The sequence below is a fragment of the Homo sapiens genome, chromosome 22 (assembly GCF_000001405.40).
Source record: "Homo sapiens chromosome 22, GRCh38.p14 Primary Assembly".
NCBI lineage: Eukaryota > Metazoa > Chordata > Mammalia > Primates > Hominidae > Homo > Homo sapiens.
The window spans coordinates 32,262,845-32,285,244 of record NC_000022.11 but is presented as its reverse complement, the minus strand read 5'-3'; the positions used below and the strand labels follow the sequence as shown (position 1 = coordinate 32,285,244).

Genomic DNA, 22,400 nt, shown 5'->3' with positions numbered 1-22,400 from the left:
ACAAAATGATGCTTATCAATAGAGGAAGACTTAGAGGTGTGCTACAGGGGAAAAATGCATATACACACATATATCGTATATACGCATATATATATCATATATACACACACATCTACTTTTATTATAAAATTTATTAACACTAAAAGATTTGTGGCACAAAGTTTACAAATAATCATAAAATATATGATACTGTTTTATAAAATGTATATATTCAACTGATTCTCACAAAATGCTTTTTTGATTTTTGCCAAAGTCTTGTATCTGCAGCCAATTGATAGTTGCAACCAATACACAAATATAACAAAATGTTACCCACAGACAACTTAGTCAACCTGGAAGAAAACCCTCCTGGGGGTTGTCACTGAGGATTTTGCTGGATCCTCACCCCACAGAAGTGAAGATTTCATGGCCACATGATCAAGGGCTTGGATCATTGTGGTCTTTTGTGTTTCCAAAGACAATTACCACAATATTTCCCTTACCACATGCACTGTTGTGATATTATCTTGCCACTTTCATCGAAAGGTGAATGTTGTATCTCCTCCCCGTGAATCTGAGCTGACCCTGTCATCATTGTGATCAATAGAATATGGTGGAAATGACGCAGCTCCAGCCTTTGCCTCTTGGAGTGCTTCTTCTTAGAACTCAGTCACCATACTGTGAGGAAGGCCAAGTAGCCACGTGGAGAGGTCAACATAAAGGAGAGTTCAGGTCCCCTCCTGATAGGCCCAGCTGAGCTCCCAGCTTGCAGCCAGCATCAACCCCCAGCCATGTGAGGGAGGTAATGTTGAACCCTGCAGCCATCCCAGTATCCCAACACCATGTGAAGCAGATACACCACATGTGCAACCCACAGGCTTGTCATAATGAATGGTTATTGGCAATTCGAACTACTAAGTTTTAGGGTGGTTTGTTATATGGCAATAGATAACCTGAACAACTGTCCAAATGAGGACTTGGTTTAAAAATCTATTTTAATGATATGAACAAATACATACACATATTATGCTTAAATGCCAAAACGTGTTACCATCTGTATAGTTTGCTTTCCTGGCAGTCTTTTTGGTTCTGTTTTCCTATTTTGCTTGGCTTCCTTTTCTCCCTCCCACACATCACATCCTATGCCCCCAAATCAAGTTGATTCTGGATACTTATGCAATTATTTATTAATGTGTACAGACACATATAGAGAGGGTTTTATTGAGGGGGGATCATTGTGTTATAAAAATGATTCTGTGGTTCTATATTTTGCTTTCTTATTTGACAATTCTTTGTAAAAATTCCTCCAAATCCCCTATAGAGCTCCAATTCATTCTTTTAAATAGTTGCATAAAATTACACAGCATGGCCATTCCATATTAATCAACCATTCTCAGGGGTGTGCTGGAGCCAGCATATACTGGCTGGTGAAAGTCTACTGTTAATTTTTAGGAATTTTGTGAGTTAGCTGTTAAATGCAGCCAATAAAAAAAATTAAATTACACAAACTTCCAATTAAGTACATGTTATTAAAAACAAAGGTAATGCATACTCAGAGTAATCAAGTCCTAATTATCTTACCTCATTTTACTATTATTGATGCTCCTAGGGTGACTTACATTTATTACAAAATACTATGTAATGGTGAACTTCTGTGCATCTCTCTCCAAGACTGTGTTCAGGGGTGTCAAATAGGTAGTTTAAAATTGGCCTTGGTGGAACTATATATACCATGGGAATTGGCAAACAATGCACATCAGGGCCTGATTGATTGTTTTGTTGATTGTCTAGACTTAAGCAAGTGATGGAGAAAATGTTAATGGTGCAAATTCAACTTTAAAGTGTGTCACGTCTGTAGCTGTTGCATTGTGAAGCAGGGACAGGTGAGGAGTTTGAATTATTAAATAAGTTGGTTGAGAGGGGTTGCATGGAGAAGGTAAGCACAGAGGTAAAGGAGGTGAGGGTGTGAGCCCAGCGAATATCTGAGACAAGAGCATCTGAGCAGAAGGAACTGCAAGTGCAAAGGCCCTGGGGCAGGTGTGTGCCTGGCAGGTTGGAGGAATGGGAAAGAGGGCAGTGTGGCTGAGAGCCCAGTGAACAGGAGAAAGTGAAGGGGTTGCAGAATGCAGAAGGAGCAATAGGAGGGGATGTTAGAGAAGGTGCAGGGAGCCAGTCAAATTATCTGGGGCTTTGCAGAATCCAGGAGGGACGCTGGCTTGCATTTCAGGTGAAAAGGAGGAGGCTCGGCAAGGTTTGAGCAGAGGAGCAGCATAATCTGGCTTACCGTTGTAAAGGCTTCTTCTGACTGCAGTGCTGAGAGCAGACTGCAGAGGCGAGGATGAAGGTGGCTTGCACTAGGATGGAAACGGGGCCGGGTGGAGAGAAGCCATCAGATCCCGGATGCGCTGGGGCAATGGAACGACAATTTCCTGACAGATTGGATGTAGGGTGCAGGAGAAAAAGGAACCATGAACAAACACAGGCTCCTGGCCCAAGCCATGGGGAAGACAGGGCAGCCACCAACCCAGACAGGGAGGTGGGAGGAGATGAGGAGTTCAGTGTTGGACGTGTTGGATGTGAGCAGAGGTATCTTTGACATCCACGTTGAAAACCTGGTTGGAGGTCAGGAGTCAGGACAGAGGTCCAGGCTGGAGGCGTACATGGGAGTCATTGGAATCTGGAGGGCATTTAAAAGCCCAAGGCAGGATGAGATCAGTAAGGGAATGAGAGGGTAATAAAACAAGGTACAGTAAGGACTGAGCTCCAGAATGTGCCAACATGTTCAAGGTCAAGTTCACAAAAAAGAGCCAGCAAGGGAGTGAGGAGGAACTACCAGAAGGTGGGAGCGAGGCTGAGAGCAGCAGAGTCCTGGCAGCCAGGTGAGGAGAGGCCAGCAAGGAGAGAGAGACTAGCCAGCAGAGTCAGACTCAGTGGGTGGCTCAGACAGCCGATGTCTGCCAGCCGACCCTGGGTTTTGGGTTGGGGGTCACTGCTGACTTCATTAAGCCTCAGGGAATCCATGAGGTCAAGAGTGTGCTGGAGGGGGGTGTTCAAGAAAGACGGAGAGGAGTTTCGCTCCTACAAAGAGCTTTGCTATCCAGAGGGGGAAAGAAACACGGAAGTGGCCGAGCGCCGTGGCTCACACCTGTAATCCCAGCACTTTGGGAGGCTGAGGCGGGCAGATCACCTGAGGTCAGGAGTTTGAGACCAGCCTGGACAACATGGTGAAACGCCGTCTCTACTAAAAATACAAAAATAGCCAGGCGTGGTGGCACATGCCTGTAATTCCAGCTACTCGGGAGGCTGAGGCAGGAGAATCGCTTGAACCCAGGAGGCTGAGGTTGCAGTGAGCCAAGATCGTGCCACTGCGCTCCAGCCTGGGCTACAGAGCGAGACTCCATTAAAAACAAACAAACAAACATGAAAGCGGAGGGCAGGAGTAGAGATCAAGACTGCTTTTGAAGATGGAGGAACAATCAGGGTACAGTGGCTCTCACCTGTAATACTAGAACTTCAGGAGGCTGAGGCGGGAAGGATTGCTTGAGACCAGGAGTTTAAGACAAGTCTGGGCAACATAATGAGACCCCTGTTTCTACAAAAATTGTAAAAATTAGCCTGGTGTGGTGTTACATGCCTGTAGTCCCAGGAATTCCAGGCAGCAGTGAGCTGTGATTGGACCACTGCACTCCAGCCTGGGCAACAAAGTGAGACCCCATCTCAAAAAATAATAAAATAAAATAAAATAAAGATGGAGAAACAATGGGTGCATGAATGCTGGTGCTAGGAGTGGAGCACCTGTGGCAGTGCACAAAACAGACAGACTGCTCCCTGGTGAAGCCCGGGCTTTGATGGGGCCCCTTCCAGTCAGTGGCACATGCTTTGGCTCCTCCCCACCCCTGCACGCCCAACCCCAGAGGAGAGCAGCCCTGTGCCTTGCTCAGATGCGGCCCCGTTGGGAGCAGCACATGCTGTTTTAAAAGAACATTCCAACCGCAGCTGGACGTCCCACCTTCCCATGAATCACCCCAGAAAATAACCGAGTGGCTGGCAAATATTCAAGCCAAACCCCCAGTGCGGGAGGCAGCAAGACGTGACATGAATGAGGAGTGTGCAGGATGAGCCTGAGAGGCAGGGACAGACGGGCTCTTGTTAGAAATGTCTATTTGTGGCTCCCCAGTCTAATTTCGGAATATGATAATGAATAAATATTGGTCTTTCCTTCCACAGCCTTTTCCTTCTGGGTGGCTCAGCCAAATAGATGCTGCCACCTTTTGTTTTCTAGAACTGTTGAGAGACTGGGGCTCAGAAGAAAGGCGTCCCCCAGGGTCTCAGGGCAAGATGGTAGCAGAGAAGGGGACCCTGAATGGTCAGAGACCCTGGGAAGGATCTGTGTTTGCCCTAAGCTTGAACCGTACCTCCTGAGTTTGTCTCTCTAATGCACCCTCCGAGTGTCATCCAACTACTGCTTAAATACCACCAATGGCAGGGAGCTCACTACCACCAAGTGGTCCATGCCCGTCGTTAGTTGGTTCAGAATGTTAGAAAGTTCCTTCATTTGACAAACTTCTTTCTTGAATTCCTGTAATGTGTTGAGCAGTTTTCTAGACATGGGATGCCATGAACTGGTCCTTCAGAGTCCCTGCCCTCAGTGGAGAGACAAACAGGAACCTATACACAGCAGCATAGGGAAGAGAGGGAGGGAGGAGAGTCCAGCTCGTGCTTAGCAGTGCAGAGGACACAAGGCCACAGGAGAGGGTGAGGGGGCTTTTTGCATTAGTTGACATTGAGCAGTGTCGACTAAGTTGAGAGCTGGGTGACAGGAAGGAGCTCTATGTGTGGGTCCAAGTGAGGGCAGCATTCTGAACAGAGGGACGGGAATTCCCAGAGGTGGGCAGGCACCCTTGACATTCTCACTGGGGAAGAGTCAGTCCCAGGATCAAAAACTGGAGGGCTGGGCACGGTGGCTCACGCCTGTAATCCCAACACTTTGGGAGGTTGAGGGGGGGTGGATCACTTGGGGTCAGGAGTTCAAGACCAGCCTGGCCAATATGGGGAAACCCTGTCTCTACTAAAAACACACAAATTAGCCAGGCATGGTGATGCATGCCTGTAATCCCAGCTACTCCAGAGGCTGAGGCACGAGAATTACTTGAACCTGGGAGGTGAAGGTTGCAGTGAGCAGAGATCGTGCCATTGCACTCCAGCCTGGGCAACACAGTGAGACTATGTCTCAAAACAAACAAACAAACAACAACAACAAAAAACTGGAGTAAGGCAATTGGGCACTTGGTCGCAGGGCATGGGCCACCTGTCCAGGTGTGCATCACCCTTGAGCAGCCCCTCCCCCAGGTCACCTCCCCACCTTCCCCACCCCCACCGACTCTAGGTCTTCTGGCCTTCCTGTCTGCTCTGAGTGGTGCTGGGAGGAGGGTCTGGGTGGGCTTGGGATCACAGAGGGCAGACATGTTGAGGAGGCTCTTGAGGTCACAGTGGCCCACTGCTATGGTTTGAATATAACCCCCTTCAAAACTCATGTAAAACTTAATTGCCAATTTGGCAGTGTTGAGAGGTGGAGCCTTTAGAGGTGATTGGATCATGAGGGTTCTGCCCTCACACCTGGCTAATTTTTGTATTTTTAGTAGAGACAGTGTTTCACCGTGTTGGCCAGGCTGGTCTTGTACTCCTGACCTCAGGTGATCCGCCCACCTCGGCCTCCCAAAGTGCTGGGATTACAGGCGTGAGCCACCACATCCGGCCCTACACTAACATTTTTTTTGTGTCTCTTGTACTGGCAGATGACCTGCTTTGTTTCATTGCAGCCTCTTCCTTGGTTGTGCCACTACTGAGTTCTCCAGCTCTCAGCGATTATTCAGCATACTTCTTTCATTGATGTCAACCTACCTACTGCTAAGCACAGGGCATAAACTTTTTAACAATTTAATTTTATAGCAGCAAGTTCTTTTGGTTGTTTGTTTTTGTTTTTGTTTTTTGAGACGGAGTCTCACTCTGTCGCCCAGGCTGGAATGCAGCGGCGCAATCTCCGCTCACTGCAAGCTCCGCCTCCCGGGTTCACGCCATTCTCCTGCCTCAGCCTCCTGAGTAGCTGGGACTACAGGTGCCCGCCACCACGCCCGGCTAATTTTTTGTATTTTTAGTGGAGACGGGGTTTCACCGTGTTAGCCAGGATGGTCTCCATCTCCTGACCTCGTGATCCGTTCGCCTCGGCCTCCCAAAGTGCTGGGATTACAGGCGTGAGCCACCGCGCCCGGCCTATAGCAGCAAGTTTTAAATGATATGTTGATATTTTCTCTATTAGTATTTAACTTCTAGAAATGAAAAATGTTTTCTAAATCTTGAGGGATAAATTATAAATATTTTCTTCTCTGTAAGAACTGTATCTGACTTGATCTGTAATCTTGTTTTCTTCTTTTTTTATCCATTTCATAGTATTGCTTACTGTCTTTCTCTTTTCTGAAGTTGCTAAAATGTCATTTAACTACAATGTAGAAAATTCTGATTGATTATGGAGGAATTTTAGGTCTCGAGGACTTTTATTTTTTGTTGCGTTCCTTGAATTCATTTTAAATTATGCTTTGGTCCATTCTTCTTTGAATATAGTATTTTTTAAAATCTTACACACGTCACAGTTCAAATATTTGTTTGATTTAGAGAAACTTCAGAATATTTTCCCAAAACTTAAAGATCCATTTTTATTTAAGATTGAAATTTTCTAACCAAAACAAAACAAAAAAATCAGCAGCTTGACTTGGGGTGAATCCTGAAGCATTTTCTGGAACTCAGTAAAGACAGGGATATATTCTATTAACTTTGAAGAATTCTTTTCTTGCTTTTGAATTTTGTCCTTGCTTACATCTTTATGAGGGTAAGAAATGTGCATATTATAACAAACAATGAATAGAAAAACAAAGTGAATAAACACCACTCATAAACAGTTTGAATTTTGGCCCAAATACAGAATCTTGATCGAAGTTAGACTAAACCTAGGGATTCACCATTATGCTATGAGATTATTCACAGCTCAAATGATTTTGTAAAGCCATTTGGGGTCTAAGGTTTAGGTTCTCCCTTTTGGAAACTTAGTTGTCATAGTTCAAAATTAGAGAGATGTTCTCAAAGTCTTTTCACAGTAGACCCTAACACGCTAAGTGACCTAGACCCAGGGAGTTCTTGTAGTCCCATATAAGAGATGATCCAGTGGGGCCCTAAACCTCTTTCTTTCACCAAAGCTGTCTGCTTTCATTTCCCTTCCCCCTGCCTAACCAGCTGTGGGCCACAGCTCTGAAGATGTGATATGAATGTCATGGAAGTTTTTATGAGTTGCCTAATTCAATTTTAAGATAGACTTTCTTTGAGATTTAGACCTTTGAAATAGAACTTTAAAATAAAACCAGAAATCGGGCTGGGCGCGGTGGCTCACGCCTGTAATCTCAGCACTTTGGGAGGCCGAGGCGGGCAGATGATGAGGTCAGGAGATCGAGACCATCTTGGCTAACACGGTGAAACGCCATCTCTACTAAAAAATACAAAAAATTAGCCAGGCATGGTGGCGGGCACCTGTAGTCCCAGCTACTCGGGAGGCTGAGGCAGGAGAATGGCATGAACCCGGGAAGCGGAGGTTGTAGTGAGCCAAGATGGCGCCACTGCACTGCAGCCTGGGCAACAGAGAGAGACTCCATCTCAAAAAAAATAAATAAGTAAATACATAAAACCGGAAATCTATGAGCATCTGTTATTCAAGAGTGATGAACATCATGAGAGCTTAAAATCCTTCACAGTTTTCCCCCTTTATTAGTGAAATTTCAGGATAATTTTGTTATATTAGAATCTATGAATTCGATTATGCACAAGTTTTTAATCCATATAAGAAAGCAGAAGTTAAAATAATTTCTATTCTAACCTATCATTTCCGGGAGACTCATGAGTTTTATTAAAAGATCACACTCAGAGGTTGACTTAAGGAAATACATGTTTGAAAGTGTCCAGAAATATGTACTAACTTCTGTACAGTTTCTTAATAGGCCCTTCTCTTTTTTGAACCTTCAAATTCTAAAGCAATAAACAGATTTAAAGGGATGTGTAGTTGATTAAAAAATATAAACAAATATAAAAATAGATCTGATTTGTTGGATTAGAAAAGGAGAGAAAGAGAAGGACAACTGAAGTTTAATTTTGAATGAAAAAATTATTTCATAATGTAGTGTGAGTAAATCATGTCACTTACATTGGGAATAAGTATTTTAAATCATCAGTTTGATAGTCATAAGAGATGCCAAAACAAATTATAAGCATAATTATAACTTAAGAAAATCTAAAAAGTGAAAATTTATACCTAGAATCAGAATACAAATGAACTATATGACCTTATTAATGAATTCATTGAGATATATTATTCCAAATCAAAAAGTATATCTAGCTTTGCCAAAAAAATTAAAAGGAATATCTTGAAAGAGCAGAGTTCAGTCATTTCAATCAGTAAGTTTTCTTAGTGTCAAATCAGTTTTACAAAACGTAGTCCACCTGTTATGATTCAGCTTCCATTTTGGATGACCTGGAGGGTTGTCTGTGTAAATTAGTGAATATTCAGAATTACGGGATATTTAAAAGAAATGTAGTTATATTATAATATAGAAATATGGCAATAGTAATCCTAAATTCTTACAATGCACCCTTGATTTAATGAATAAAGAAGATTCATTTTTAATCAGCACCTAATTATTTTTATGCAAATGGAGCTATTGCAATACTTGAAAATAGTTTGTTCTCTTGGTTAAAGTTGGTTAAACGTTTCCCTTTGAAATTTTCTTTCCATTGTCCCTTTGCTTAGCAAACTATAATACAAAGCTAAATGCCTTGTCAGCCGTATTCAATTTGCACAGAGACCAAACCAGCAGATACTAATTTAGTAAGTTTTCGTTATGTTCTCCCTGAGCCTGTGATGACATTCATTGATAGCTCAGATTATTAATGCAGCTATACAGACTTTATACAAAATATTGATTGTCTTAAGAGATAAAGTCCTATAGGAAGATTATCTTTATCTGATTTATTCATCTACATTTTACAAAAGAAAGTGTCATAATGTATGGCTTTTGAAAGGAAATAAATCTGTAATACTATTTATAGAACTAAAACATTTATGCTTTTATATATTAGGAAACAGTAACTTGATATATAACTGCAAATCTTTAAAAAAATTGTGGCGAAGGATATGAACAGACACTTCTCAAAAGAAGACATTTATGCAGCCAAAAGACACGTGAAAAAATGCTCATTATCACTGGCCATCAGAGAAATGCAAATCAAAACCACAATGAGATACCATCTCACACCAGTTAGAATGGCGATCATTAAAAAGTCAGGAAACAACAGGTGCTGGAGAGGATGTGGAGAAATAGGAACACTTTTACACTGTTGGTGGGATTATAAACTAGTTCAACCATTGTGGAAGTCAGTGTGGTGATTCCTCAGGGATCTAAACTAGAAAATCCATTTGACCCAGCAATCCCATTACTGGGTATATACCCAAAGGATTATAAATCGTGCTGCTATAAAGACACATGCACATGTATGTTTATTGCAGCACTATTTACAATAGCAAAGACTTGGAACCAACCCAAATGTCCATCAATGGTAGACTGGATTAAGAAAATGTGGCACATATACACCATGGAATACCATGCAGCCATGAAAAATGATGAGTTCATGTCCTTTGTAGGGACGTGGATGAAGCTGGAAACCATCATTCTCAGCAAACTATCGCAAGGACAAAAAACCAAACACCGCATGTTCTCACTCATAGGTGGGAATTAAACAATGAGAACACATGGACACAGGAAGGGGAACATCACACACTGGGGCCTGTCATGGGGTGAGGGGAGGGATAGCATTAGGAGATATACCTAATGCTAAATGACGAGTTAATGGGTGCAGCACACCAACATGGCACATGTATACATATGTAACAAACCTGCACGTTGTGCACATGTACCCTAAAACTTACAGTGTAATAAAAAAATAAAGTTAAAAAAAATTGTGGTCCCCTTTTGTTCAGAGTATGCACCTTGATTCAATTAATCAAGAGTCGATTTTTCTTTTGTATCTCCAGCATCCACAGAACTTTTCAGACACAGAGAGAGCCATTAGTGTACTACTGGTGTACAATAGAGTTATAAGCTGCTATAAAATAAGAACTGTATGTTACAGTGTTAGACAATTATAAAATCAAACAAGTGAGTTAATGAAGTTGTGAATTGTATGATATGAAGACTGACTAGAGAAAGAGCTTGAATAGGGAAGCTGAGCTTTCAAGGACTCATAAGTTGAACTGAACTTTAAAGAAAGGCCAGGATACAAGCATTCTAAATCTTTTTCAGTTTTAAGAAAATCATTGGAAAAATAGTGTAACCACATTATGGAAAGTAGGGATAAGGTATAAAATCATGTATTAACTCTACTCTTGTTAATGTTCTGGTATATTTCTTTCCGGTGTCACCTCTGAATTTGTCTTTTTAAGATAAACTTAATCGCAGCACATGTTCTATTTTGGAGCTTTTTATCTAATTAAAATTATTTCAGAAGCATTTCCCAGGTGGCTCATAGGCTTCCTGGCCACTGTTTTAAAAGATATTTAATATTTCATGGTGTGGATTTTTTTTCAACTTTTTATTATCACAAATAATATTTTGAGCTGTTTTTATGCATAAGCTTTTTCATACTCGAGATTGTTTCTTTTGTTCACTTCTCAGTAGAGTGTAAGTGGGCCATGAACTTTCTTTTTTTAACTTATAATTATCTTAAGAACAGTGCCAATTTATAATATCTACAACAAACTATGAGGGGTACTATTTCATCATATCTGTAACAGTATTTGGCATTTCCATTTTTAAATAAGAATATCAAATGTTGGGCCGGGCGCAGTGGCTCATGCCTATAATCCCAGCACTTTAGGAGGCTGAGGCGGGAGGAGCACGAGGTCAGGAGATCGAGACCATCCTGGCTAATACAGTGAAACCCCGTCTCTACTAAAATACAAAAAAAATTAGCCAGGCTTGTTGGCGGGCACCTGTAGTCCCAGCTACTGGGGAGGCTGAAGCGGGAGAACGGTGTGAACCCGGGAGGTGGAGCTTGCAGCGAGCCGAGATGACGCCACTGCACTCCAGCCTGGGTGACAGAGCGAGACTCTGTCTCAAAAAAAAAAAAAAAATAGAATATCAAATGTTAACATGCCAAAAGTGGCACTGTTTTGTACAGTTTTCTGTACTTGTTTTACTCATGATATTTTCTCATGCGTGTAGTATCTGTTCATATCCCTGGGCCTTCTACCAAATGACTTGTGTATGTTTTCTGAAATCTAAATCTTTCCTTCTGCCAAGTCTGCAGTGTTGTAATTTTATAATCTGTAATAGCATTTAAAGTATTTGGAGTTTGTTTGTTTGTTTGTTTTTGTTTGCTTGTTTGTTTGTTTTGCTTTCTCTTGTTTAGGAAATAGTGCCGTATGCTGTAGAGTTAGGTAGTTGAAAGAATCAAAAAGGAAATAAGGTTTGGTTTGGTTTTGTAACTTCTGATTAAATAACTCACTCAGCAAATACTTGTGAGCTGTGCCAGCAGTGGTGATGAGACAGATACAGACTTGGTTTTCAAAGATTTTATAAAGTAATAATAGATGCATACAAATAAACATGTGATTAAGACTATACTATACTAGAGCATTTAGGGATGGTAAAGGTGGAACACTTACCCCAAACAAAGCAGAAACTGTTTAGAAAAGGCGTCTATCACTGTGTTTTCTCATGAGCATTTCTTCTTGTTTTTGTGTCCATTTTACACTCCAGCCTGTAGGTGTACCACATATTTAATCATTCCTCTGTGGACATGGAGGCTGTTTTCTGTTTCCCCCTTCCGTAAACAATATTACAACAGATGTCTCTGTAATGGAAATTGTAGCACAGGTCTGGATTATCTTCTCAGGGTAAATTTTTAGAAATGGCCTTATTGCATTATAGTATATGAATATTTTTGAGATTCTTGATACATAGTATCAGATGGTCTTCCAGAAAGTATATATTCCTTGTGTTTTGTTCAAAAAAGGTGGTGGGAGGTAGTGCGGTGTGGTGGTGGCAGCGACATCCATGGAGCTAGAAGTGGGCAGTGACGCCATCTGTCTCCAGCAAGTCATCCAGGATGATGTCGGATATGGTGCTGATCTTCTTGGCCAGCTTGCTGCTCCATGGTGCTCAGGTACAGGTAGCGGTTGAGCAGCTCCCCGTGCAGCTTGCAGCACAGCATTCTGGAGGGTGCGGAGGTCCACACGCAGCATCCGGAAGGTGCGGAGGTTGAGGCCTGTGTGGTGTGGCAGCACGTTCAGCAGCATCAGCAGCCTCCAGTAGGTTTTCTCCTGCATGGGCAGCAGCAGCCCGATGCCACCATCCTGGGTGGCGAACCACGCGATATGCTTATTCTCCCACCACTGACTTTTTGCTGAGCCCCTCAGTGGCTCCCTGGCACAGGGTCCTATAGAATGCGTTCATGTGGGCACCCACATGGAAGTCTGCCCAGCGCAGCAGGCACATGCCCCCAAAACTCTCCTTGGCTTCAGGCAGGTACATGTACACCATGAGGCTGCAGTCGTGGTCAGACACCAGAAAACCCAGCTGGGTGTTGTCTACCATGAAGTCCACGCTGTACACCTCCAGGGTCTTGGCATCACATGACGAGGCTCAGCGTCTTGCTCTCCTCCTGGTAACAGCAGCCAGATGCTCTTCATGAGGTCGGCTGCCAGGATGAAGTTCCTGACGCTGATCATCTGGTGGATGTAGAGCTGCCTGTCGACCATGAAGGCCATGCCCGTCAGCTCGCTGGCCCGCAGGCTTCACAGGAAAATCTTCTGGCTGATGGCCGACACCAGGTGGCCTTGCAGTGCACAGGGCAGTCACGGGCCCCTTCTGCTCCTTCTCGTAAAGGACTCTGAACTTGTTCTTGGTCAAGGGCTGGCTGGGCTCGGGCACCACCTCAGTCACATCCATGATCAAGATCCGCCCTCAGGACATGACCTCCTCCTCCTCCTGCATGAGGCAGGTCCCGGCGGCCACGCGTAGCCTTTGAAGCCTGACCTGGTCTCCTTGCTGCAGCGACACTGTCTTCGTGCTGGTCACAAGCTCCCACTTCTGCAGCTCAATCCTGGCATTGGGAATAGCCTCCCAGCAGACTAGGGAGATGAACTGGATAGATAAGGCCGCCTCCTGGGGGTGGATGCACTGCTCATCTCTCTCAATGGTCTCAAATGCCTTCTCCTCGCCAGTCATGTGGGATGCAGGTGCACAGTGTGTTGGTGCTGGTGGCCACAGCGTACATCTTGGACTCCACATGGTAAGCCACACAGTGGACCGTGCAGCACAGCGGGATCTTCCTGACAGGCCACGGGGAATCATAGGACAGGTAGGCAGGAAGGACGCTGATCCTCAGTTTGCCCTGTCTGTTGAAGTACAGGAAGCCGCGGGGACAGTTGACATTGTGGAACAGAGCGAAAGAGTTGACAGGGCCATTGATGCCCACGGGGTGCAGCCGCAGCACCCCTCAGTCTGTCGCCAGGAGCCAGTGAGGTGAGGGGCCGCAGATGAACACTCCTGAGTAGCCATAAATGTCCTCGAAGTAGTGGAAACACGCCACGCGGCCCCGGGCCCGACCCTCTCCTCTGTGCGGCCACCTGCTTTCTTCTTGGATGGCTTCGGCTTCTTCTCACGGAAGCTGATGTTGTGAAGGACCTTCTTAAAGTGGACTTTGAGATTGCCCTGGCTGAGCCGAGAGTCGTGGGGGAAGGCCTTGTAGATAAGCAGCTTTTGGTCCACATGCACCAGCAGGTAAGGTGTGCTCTGGCGGCTGCCCAGCACAACCAGCAGCACCTCCTTGACGAGAGAGGCAGCTCCTCCTGGCACATGGCCTCCTCCCTGCGGGCCTCGCCCTGTGTGGTGGGCTCTCCAAAGGAGCTGTCCATGAGGACCCGCTGCCCCACAGGGAAGTTCTTCACCAAGAACACCAGCCGCCAGTCGGGGAGCTGGCAGGTCACCATGGTGCCATTCTCCTGCAACAGCAGGCACCAGTGGATGGGCTCTGTCTGGAAGGGTACAGAGTCCCAGTCGGCAGGGGCTGGCTGCTTCTTCGGGCCACCTCCTTGCTGGGACTGAAGAGGGATCCCAAATCCCCACACAGCATTTCCTCATCACCGACTGTGGGGCTAGTCTCCGAGCCCAGGCTCTCGGCCTCCAAGCCACTGTGGCCCCCTAGCTCATCGTGAGCCCCGCTCAGGCAGCTCTCAGTGGTGAACATGCCACTGAGGTCTCGGTACAGGCACAGCGTGATCACGTTGGGCTGATGGTGCAGCGGGGGCTTGTGCAGCACCAGGTGGTCGTGGCAGCCACTATAGGAGTGTGCTTTTCAGCAGGAACATGGTGACGCGGCCGTCGGCACTCATGATGACCACGCAGGGGTTGCCTACAGTGCACTGCATGTTGCGGGTGACCAGGCCCACAGGGATGAAGTACAACTGATTCATTCCTTCCAGCAGGTGGATGCCCAGCAGCGACACTTGGACAATGTAGTGGTTGTCCCCGATGTTTTCGGCAAAGACCGTGGGGCCCTGCGTGGCAAAGCCACTGGTGTCCAGCTCCATGATCTCCTGCCCCATCTGCGGGAATATGGTTGAGTCTTCCTGGCTCAGAATCAGGAATCACTGTCTGCGGTGGTCATTGTCCGCTTCGGGGGTGCTGGGTTCCTGCTCCGTGCCCTCCCCCTTGGGATTCTCTTTCTCCTCCTTAGGCACCAGGGCGATGACTGTCCACATGTCGTAGCAGCCGGGAAGCTCAAAGGTTGTCACCACCTGGGGCTGGATGCTCTTCTGCAGCACCGACAGAGCCCCATTCTTCCTGTGGCTGGAGCAAACCACAATCTCCAGGTCCGGCTCAGGGTTGTTCTGAAACTCTTCAGACAGGAAGGCAGGCTCACCCATGGCAGCATTGGTGCAGGGTCCAATGTTAAGGATGCTGTCACACACCTCAAAGGTAGGTGGCCAGCTGTGTGCCCGACTGGGCGTCGCTGCCGTACACTTCAATCTCGTCCATGTCGTCCTGTGACACGGATTTGTCCCTGGCTGACCAGCTGGCCATGTGTCCACTCGCTTCTTCTGTGAGGGAGGCTCTTCCTTGTCAGCAGCCTCACAGATAGCACTGGCCGGGGGCTCCTGAAGCTTCTCGGTGTACTTGAGGAGGAGAGAGTTGCCCAGGCAAGAACTCAGGAACAGGTACCCAGGCTCCATGGTGACCATGCTGGTGGTGAGGACGCTGGTGGCCGCCTTGTCAAAAGTGGAACACTCGGACGCTACGCATGCCATCGGTGATGAGGGTCAGCATGTAGATCTGACTGCCCTTGAGGGAGATGACCATCTTGTCATGGGAGATGAAGGTGGCCTGGGCGCAGTCCAGGGGGATTCACACACCCAGCTGGGTGCACAGCGGGAAAGCTGCGGTGCCTGTGGTGAGGCTGCTGAGAGCCACACCGTACGGGGGAATGCTCTGGTTCAGGTATAACAGCGAGCTGACGACAAAGACCACCACCCCACCTATGGGCTTGGGTACGGCCAGAGCCTGGGTGCAGTCAAAGGGTAGCTGGTGAGAGATCAGATGACGGGGTGCACCTTCTGCGTGATGTTAGCAAGATGGCCACGATGGAGCACGTGTCCTGCCACACAGCCACGTGCCCGGGCCAGGTCTGGTTGGGCTCGAACAGGATGGGCTTGTAGTAGCCGTGCAGGAACTGCAGGGCGATGATGATGAGCAGCTTCTCATCCAGGGCCTGCACATCGATGAGGTAGCTTCTACAGGACAGGCCAGCCCACTCCTATGGAATCAAAATACGGATTTTTAAAAGATCTCCAGGTGATTTAATATAAACAAGCTTGAGAAGTTATGTTTTAGGTCAGTGCTACACCCAAAGAAATATGACAGCCACATGTATAATTTTAAATTTTCCTGTAGACATGCTAAAAAAGTAATAAAAAACATGCAGCCGCTCGTGGTGGCTCACGCCTGTAATCCCAGCACTTTGGGAGGCCAGGGTGGGCAGATCACAAGGTGAGGAGTTCGAGACCGCCATGGCCAACATGGCAAAACCCTGTGTTTACTAAAAATATAAAAATTAGCCCGGTGTGGTGGCATGCTCCTGCAGTCCCAGCTACTCAGGAGGCTGAGGCAGAATCGCTTGAACCCAGAAGGCAGAGCGTGCAGTAAGCCGAGATCACACCACTGCACTCAGCCTGGGCGAAAGAGCGAAACTCTGTCTCAAGAGAAAAAATGCAAAAAATACTTTAAATAGTATATTATAAGCCTGTATATCCCAAATTATTATCATTTTCACAGAGGACACTAACCACATTTAAGGGCTCTGCAGCCAATGGCGACTACCACATTAGACAGCACAGGCCTAGAGCACGACCTAACTATTACATTACCTTCAAAATCTCTAGTCATCTCTAGTCTATATTCAACTATGGTTTGGGGGCATAAATATTTCAGGTGCCAGAATTCAGCCTATGCCCATATTTAATGGAGAACATTTTGAATGGCTACTTTCTCAGGGCCATTGATGGGCTGAGAGCAAATTTTACAGATTTCTTACCTTGGAACTTCAGCGTCTTTGGGTTCTGATATAGAATTGTCAGCTGGGGCTCCAGTTCCTTGATTTTAGAATCCATCTTTCCCAGCTGGAAATCGGGCCTGATGTCATTCTTCTGAGTAGCCACAGAGCGAAAGGAGCACATTACACCTTCCTCATGGGGTTCCTTCAGAAGTGAACTGATGCAGCGGATGCAGCAGACACATCCACGACTTAGGTACACGGGTTTTTCAAGATAAGATAGGGAGATGAGACATCGACTCGCTTCTTGAAATTGTTCAGCCGTGACCACTCTCTATGGAAAAATGTACATGCTATTAGAGTGTCATGAGTTGAAGGACAACACTCCTTGGAAATCTTTCCTCCTTATATACATAGAGATATCAGGGCCTACTATGCACAATTACTAGTGAAACATAATGAAACACAATATAAATACATATATAAAAGACTCAGGGCCTTGAGCTTCTGATATTTTAAATGCTAGCTGGAGTGCAGTGGCGCCATCTCGGCTCACTGCAAGCTCCACCTCCTGGGTTTACGCCATTCTCCTGCCTCAGCTTCCCAAGTACCTGGGACTACAGGCGCCCACCACCACGCCTGGCTAATTTTTTGTATTTTTAGTAGAGATGGAGTTTCACTGTGTTAGCCAGGATGGTCTCAATCTCCTGACCTCGTGATCCTCCTGCCTCAGCCTCCCAAAGTGCTGGGATTACAGGCGTGAGCCACCACGTCCAGCCAGGACTTGATTGTTTCTTTGGGAAGTTGATGTCATAAAAGTGTCTATACTGGGCTGTCCTGCCACATGTGGCTCTTGAGCACCTGAAATGGGGCATATCAGAATTGAGATGTGCTTTCAGTGTAAAATGCATAATGGATTTGGAAAATGTAATGAGAAATAGAGAATGTAAATGATGTTGTTAAGAACTTTTAAAGGTTGGCTGGGTGCAGTGGCATGTGCCTGTAGTCCTAGCACCCTGGGAGGCTGAGTCGGGAGGATCGCCTGAGCCCAAGAAGTTGAAGCTACAGTGAGCTATGATCGTGCCACTGCACTCCAGCCTGGGTGATGGAGGGAGACCCTGTTTCTTAAAAACAATCTTAAAGTTAATTTCATGCTGAAATGATAACATTTTCTGTATTAAAATTTTAATTTTTTTCTTAATTTATTCTCACCTCTGCTCCACTAGGTTCTCCCCTGGCCTCCAATTGCTTCCACTGACAACTCAGTTGGAGTGAGCTCCACTTACAAGGGTTTTTGTGTAGAGTGTCCCTCCTCCCACCTTATTCACATCCTGCTTATCATTCTTAATCCAATCAGATTTTGATTTAATTATGCTATATATTAGATTTTTACTGACGTCATAAGCAGATTGCCACAAAGGAGATCGTCCTCACTAAAGGGTTTTCACAGTTAATATGGACAAATATTGCCACATCATTCTAAATTAGGTCTTGTATATTGTGGGCGTTGGTAAGATTTGGGATCAGGATTGAAACTGTTCAAACAAAACATTTGGCATCAAAATTAATTGTTATGAATGGAGCTAATTTCAAATTGTTTTTGATCATGAAAATAAAAACTCACAGTTTGATGAAGAAAATTAGTCAAACTTACTCACAGGTCTTTCCTAAAACCACACTCATTAGACCAGTCATTTATTAAAAAGGACTTACTCTTGTGAAGATCCACATTTAGAAGAGGTTGAATTCACTTCCACATAAAAATATTTTTTCTGCATTATGATTTTCTTAAGAACATTTTCTTTGGTCTAGCTTACTTTACTGTAAGAACACAGTACATAACACATATGCAAAATATGCGTTAACGGACTTGATATTATGGGTAAGGCTTCCAGTCAACAATGGGCCATTCATCCTTAAGTTATTGGGAAGTCAAAAGTTATGCACAGGTATTGGACTGCCGGGGGCTCAGTGCCCCTAAACCCCACATTTTTTAAGGGTCAGCTGTATCTAAAAATCTCAAGAACATTGCCCGTGGCCAGTATTTATAATTTTTTCTTTGCTTTTAGACAAAATCATTCCTGTACATTTAATTTCATTAATATTACTCTCTGTATTTGTAAATAGTTTGTGCTTAATCTGTAAAGTGTGAACAGGTTTTAGTTTTTGCATGACTATTGCAGACATATTGAACCACGTTTGATAAATGAAGTAATAGTGAAACTACCTAGGGTTTTCTCTCAGCTGCCTCCCTCTTCCCTGTCTCCAGGTGGCGCTGTGTGGAAGTTTATGAAGAGACCTGGTCCGGATCCAAGCTTTCTGTCCCCGTTCTACTTTCTGAAACGCCCACCAAAAGACACGGGCCCCTGGCATCTCATAACCACTCAGTTAGTCATCATTTCTGTTTTTTAATAGCTGAGGATATCCTGACTACTTGCTCTTCACAAGATTATTATAAATTATACTAGTTTAAATTCAAAGGCAAAGTTTCCCCCTTCCTGCTCCCTGGAAACCTTTATCCCTGAATGACATGGCTAAATGGCTAAGCTCTCCTGCACCCAATGCCCTGATCAAGTGTTTCTTCCTGTAGGGGCCTTTCCTTTTGCCCCAAGGCAAATCCTTTCTCTGTTGTCCTCCCCTGGCAATTTATAAACACTTGTAACAGAATCTGTTACTATTCTTATTTGTATTGATGTGGTCTTAAAAGAGTCAAACTTAGTTGAGAGCTGTATCTGTGGCCTACATTTTGTTCTGTTTGTTTTGTTTTGTTTTTCCTTTTTTTGAGACAGAGTCCCACTCCATCACCCAGGCTGGAGTGCAGTGGCATGATCTCGGCTCACTGCAACCTCCACCTCCCCGGTTCAAGCGTTTCTCGTTCCTCTCCCTCCCGCAAAGCTGGAATTACAGGCATGAGCCACCACACCCAGCTAATTTTTGTATTTTTAGTAGAGAGGGGGTTTCACCATGTTGACTGGGCTGGTCTCAAACACCTGGCCTCAAGTGATCCACCCACCTCAGCCTCCGAAAGTGTGTGGCCTACATTTTGGATATGAAATATGAAAAATATTTACCAAAAAGTAGACAACAAATAATTACTATTGGATCCACATATAATTTAATCAATCTGGTTTCCTTCATATTTCCTCTTGCTTTTCATCCTCCTTGCAGTTTCATGATTCTCTGGAGGTCATCTAAAACAATAATATAATTTAAGGAAGCAAATTTTTTTTTCTTGAGACAGGGTCTTGCTCTGTTGCCCAGGCTGGAGTGCAATGGTACAATTATGGCTCACTGTAGCCTCGAACTCCTGGGCTGAAGCCATCCTCCTGCCTCAGCCTCCCCAGTAGCTGGGACTACCAGTGTGTGCTACCAAGACTGGCTAATTTTTTAACTATTTTGTAGAGATGAGGATCTCACTATATTGCCAGAACTGGTCTTAAGCAATCTTCCCACCTTGGCCTTCCAAAGTGCTGGGATAACAGGTGTGAGCCACCATGCCTGGCAAGGAAGCAAATTTGATTTTACATCATCCAAAGAGTAACACAAAGGAAGTATATCTGAGTTGTAGTACATCAATAAGTGGAAATATTAAGATTCTATATAAATTATTTGTGATTTCCTTTCTAAGAAAGAGACTACAATTATCATTATACATGGGCATTTTCAAACATTTCCAAACTTGAGATGAAAAAAAGAAAGAAAATATGAGACAGTGACTATATTTGAGGTATATTCTTTCAACAGACTATAAACGTGCGGGGTTCACACATTTATCAGCCAAAAACAGATTCAAAATACATACATTCTTAGTCTTAACAAGGGCTACAAAAAAAGTGTGGAACAGCTATCAGTAATATATTTTGTGTTAATATGAATTCTAGGCTTGGATAAAACATGCAGGGTATGATTACAACTTTAGATGTCTTCTTTTTAAATGTTATTTCTCTTTTAGGACTTCGGTCTGATTAAATGTTATTTCTTTTTTAGGACTTTGGTCTGATTAATAGATGTCTTCTTTTTTCTGGTTTCTTGTTTCGTTTTGTTTTGTTTTGAGACTGGGTCTCTGTCGCCCACTGCTGCTAGAATGCAGTGGCATAATCATGGCTTACTGTAACGTTAACTACATGGGCTCAGGTGATCCACCTGAGCCTCCCAAGAAGCTGGGACCACAGGCACATGCCACCATGCCCAACGAACTTTTTCTATTTTTTGTAGAGATGGGGGTCTCACCATGTTGCCCTGGCTGGTCTAGAACCCCTGGCTCAAGTGATCCTCCTGCCTTGGCCTCCCAAAGTGCTGAGATTACAGGTGTGAGCTGCCACACCTGATTGAGATTTCTTAGTTCTATTATATTCTCTAATATAAAAAAAGAAAGGTCATCGTCCAGTTTTAAGTGGTCTCACGACAATTTCTTTTTTTTTTAATTTTTTTTTTATTATACTTTAAGTTCTGGGGTACATATGCAGAACATGCAGGTTTGTTACATACGTATACGCGTGCCATGGTGGTTTGCTGCACCCATCAATCCATCATCTACATTGGGTATTTCTCCTAATGCTCTCCCTCTCCCAGCCCCCAACCCCATGACAGGCCCCGGTGTATGATGTTCTATGTTCATGTGTTATTGTTCAACTCCCCTTATGAGCGAGAACATGCAGTGTTTGGTTTTCTGTTCTTGTGTTAGTTTACTGAGAATGATGGTTCCCAGCTTAATCCATGTCCCTGCAAAGGACATGAACTCATCCTTTTTTATGACTGCATAGTATTCCATGGTGTGTATGTGCCACATTTTCTTTATCCAGTCTACCATTGATGGGCATTTGGGTTGGTTCCAAGTCTTTGCTATTGTGAATAGTACCGCAATAAAAATACGTGTGCATGTGTCTTTATAGTAGAATGATTTATAATCCTTTAGGTATATACCCAGTAATGGGATTGCTGGGTCAAATAGTATTTCTGGTTCTAGATCCTTGAGGATTCGCCACACTGTCTTCCACAATGACTGAACTTATTTACACTCCCACCAACAGTATAAAAGTGTTCCTATTTCTCCACATCCTCCCCAGCATCTGTTGTTTCCTGACTTTTTAATGATCGCCATTCTAACTGGCGTGAAATGGTATCTCATTGTGGTTTTGGTTTGCATTTCTCTAATGACCAGTGATGATGAGCTTTTTTTCATATGTTTCTTGGCCGCATAAATGGGTAGACTGCATGTTTCTAAGGAATTGTTTCATTTTATCTGGGCTAACCAACTTGTTGGCATACAAATGTTTATAGTATTCTCTTAAAATCTTTTTAATTTTTATAAAACCAGTATTGAGGCAAGGCTCAGTGGCTCATGCCTGTAATCGCAGCACTTTGGGAGGCTGAATCACTTGAACCCAGTGTTTGAGACCAGCCTGCGCAACATGGTGAAACCCTGTCTCTAACAAAAACAACAAACAGACAAAAACTAGCCAGGCATGGTGGTGTATGCTTGTAGCTACTCAGCAGGCAGTGAATGCACTCCAGCCTGGTTGACAGTGGTATCTTGTCAAAAAAAAAAATGTAGGGCCGGGCACGGTGGCTCATGCCTGTAATCCCAGCACTTTGGGAGGTCGAGGCGGGTGGATCACAAAGTCAGGAGATCGAGACCATCCTGGCTAACACAGTGAAACCCCATCTCTACTAAAAATACAAAAATTAGCTGGGAGAGGTGGTGGCCACCTGTAGTCCCAGCTACTCGCGAGGCTGAGGCAGGAGAATGGCATGAACCTGGGAGTCAGAGCTTGCAG

General features: G+C 44.6%; 1 protein-coding gene, 1 long non-coding RNA gene and 1 pseudogene across 5 annotated transcripts in view; 1 reads left to right on the top strand and 2 right to left on the bottom strand.

The window, feature by feature from the left end:
* Positions 1-22,400, top strand: part of SLC5A4 (solute carrier family 5 member 4) — a 136,600-nt gene that overhangs the window by 69,819 nt on the left and 44,381 nt on the right. For 2 of the 4 annotated variants that reach the window (XM_017028920.2, XM_011530342.3), the window contains exon 3: positions 18,893-19,010. The exons of the other annotated variants lie outside the window; for them this stretch is intronic. In XM_017028920.2, coding sequence (XP_016884409.1) covers positions 18,893-19,010 — 118 coding nt within the window. The remainder of the gene's footprint in view (positions 1-18,892; positions 19,011-22,400) is intronic. 4 annotated transcript variants of the gene reach the window in all.
* Positions 11,630-22,400, bottom strand: part of SLC5A4-AS1 (SLC5A4 antisense RNA 1) — a 68,501-nt gene continuing 57,730 nt past the window's right edge. The window contains exons 3-4 of the long non-coding RNA NR_149072.1: positions 16,666-16,957; positions 11,630-15,888 (exon numbers count right to left, since the gene is read on the bottom strand). This is a non-coding gene — a long non-coding RNA (SLC5A4 antisense RNA 1). The remainder of the gene's footprint in view (positions 15,889-16,665; positions 16,958-22,400) is intronic.
* Positions 12,051-15,864, bottom strand: CPSF1P1 (CPSF1 pseudogene 1; annotated as a pseudogene).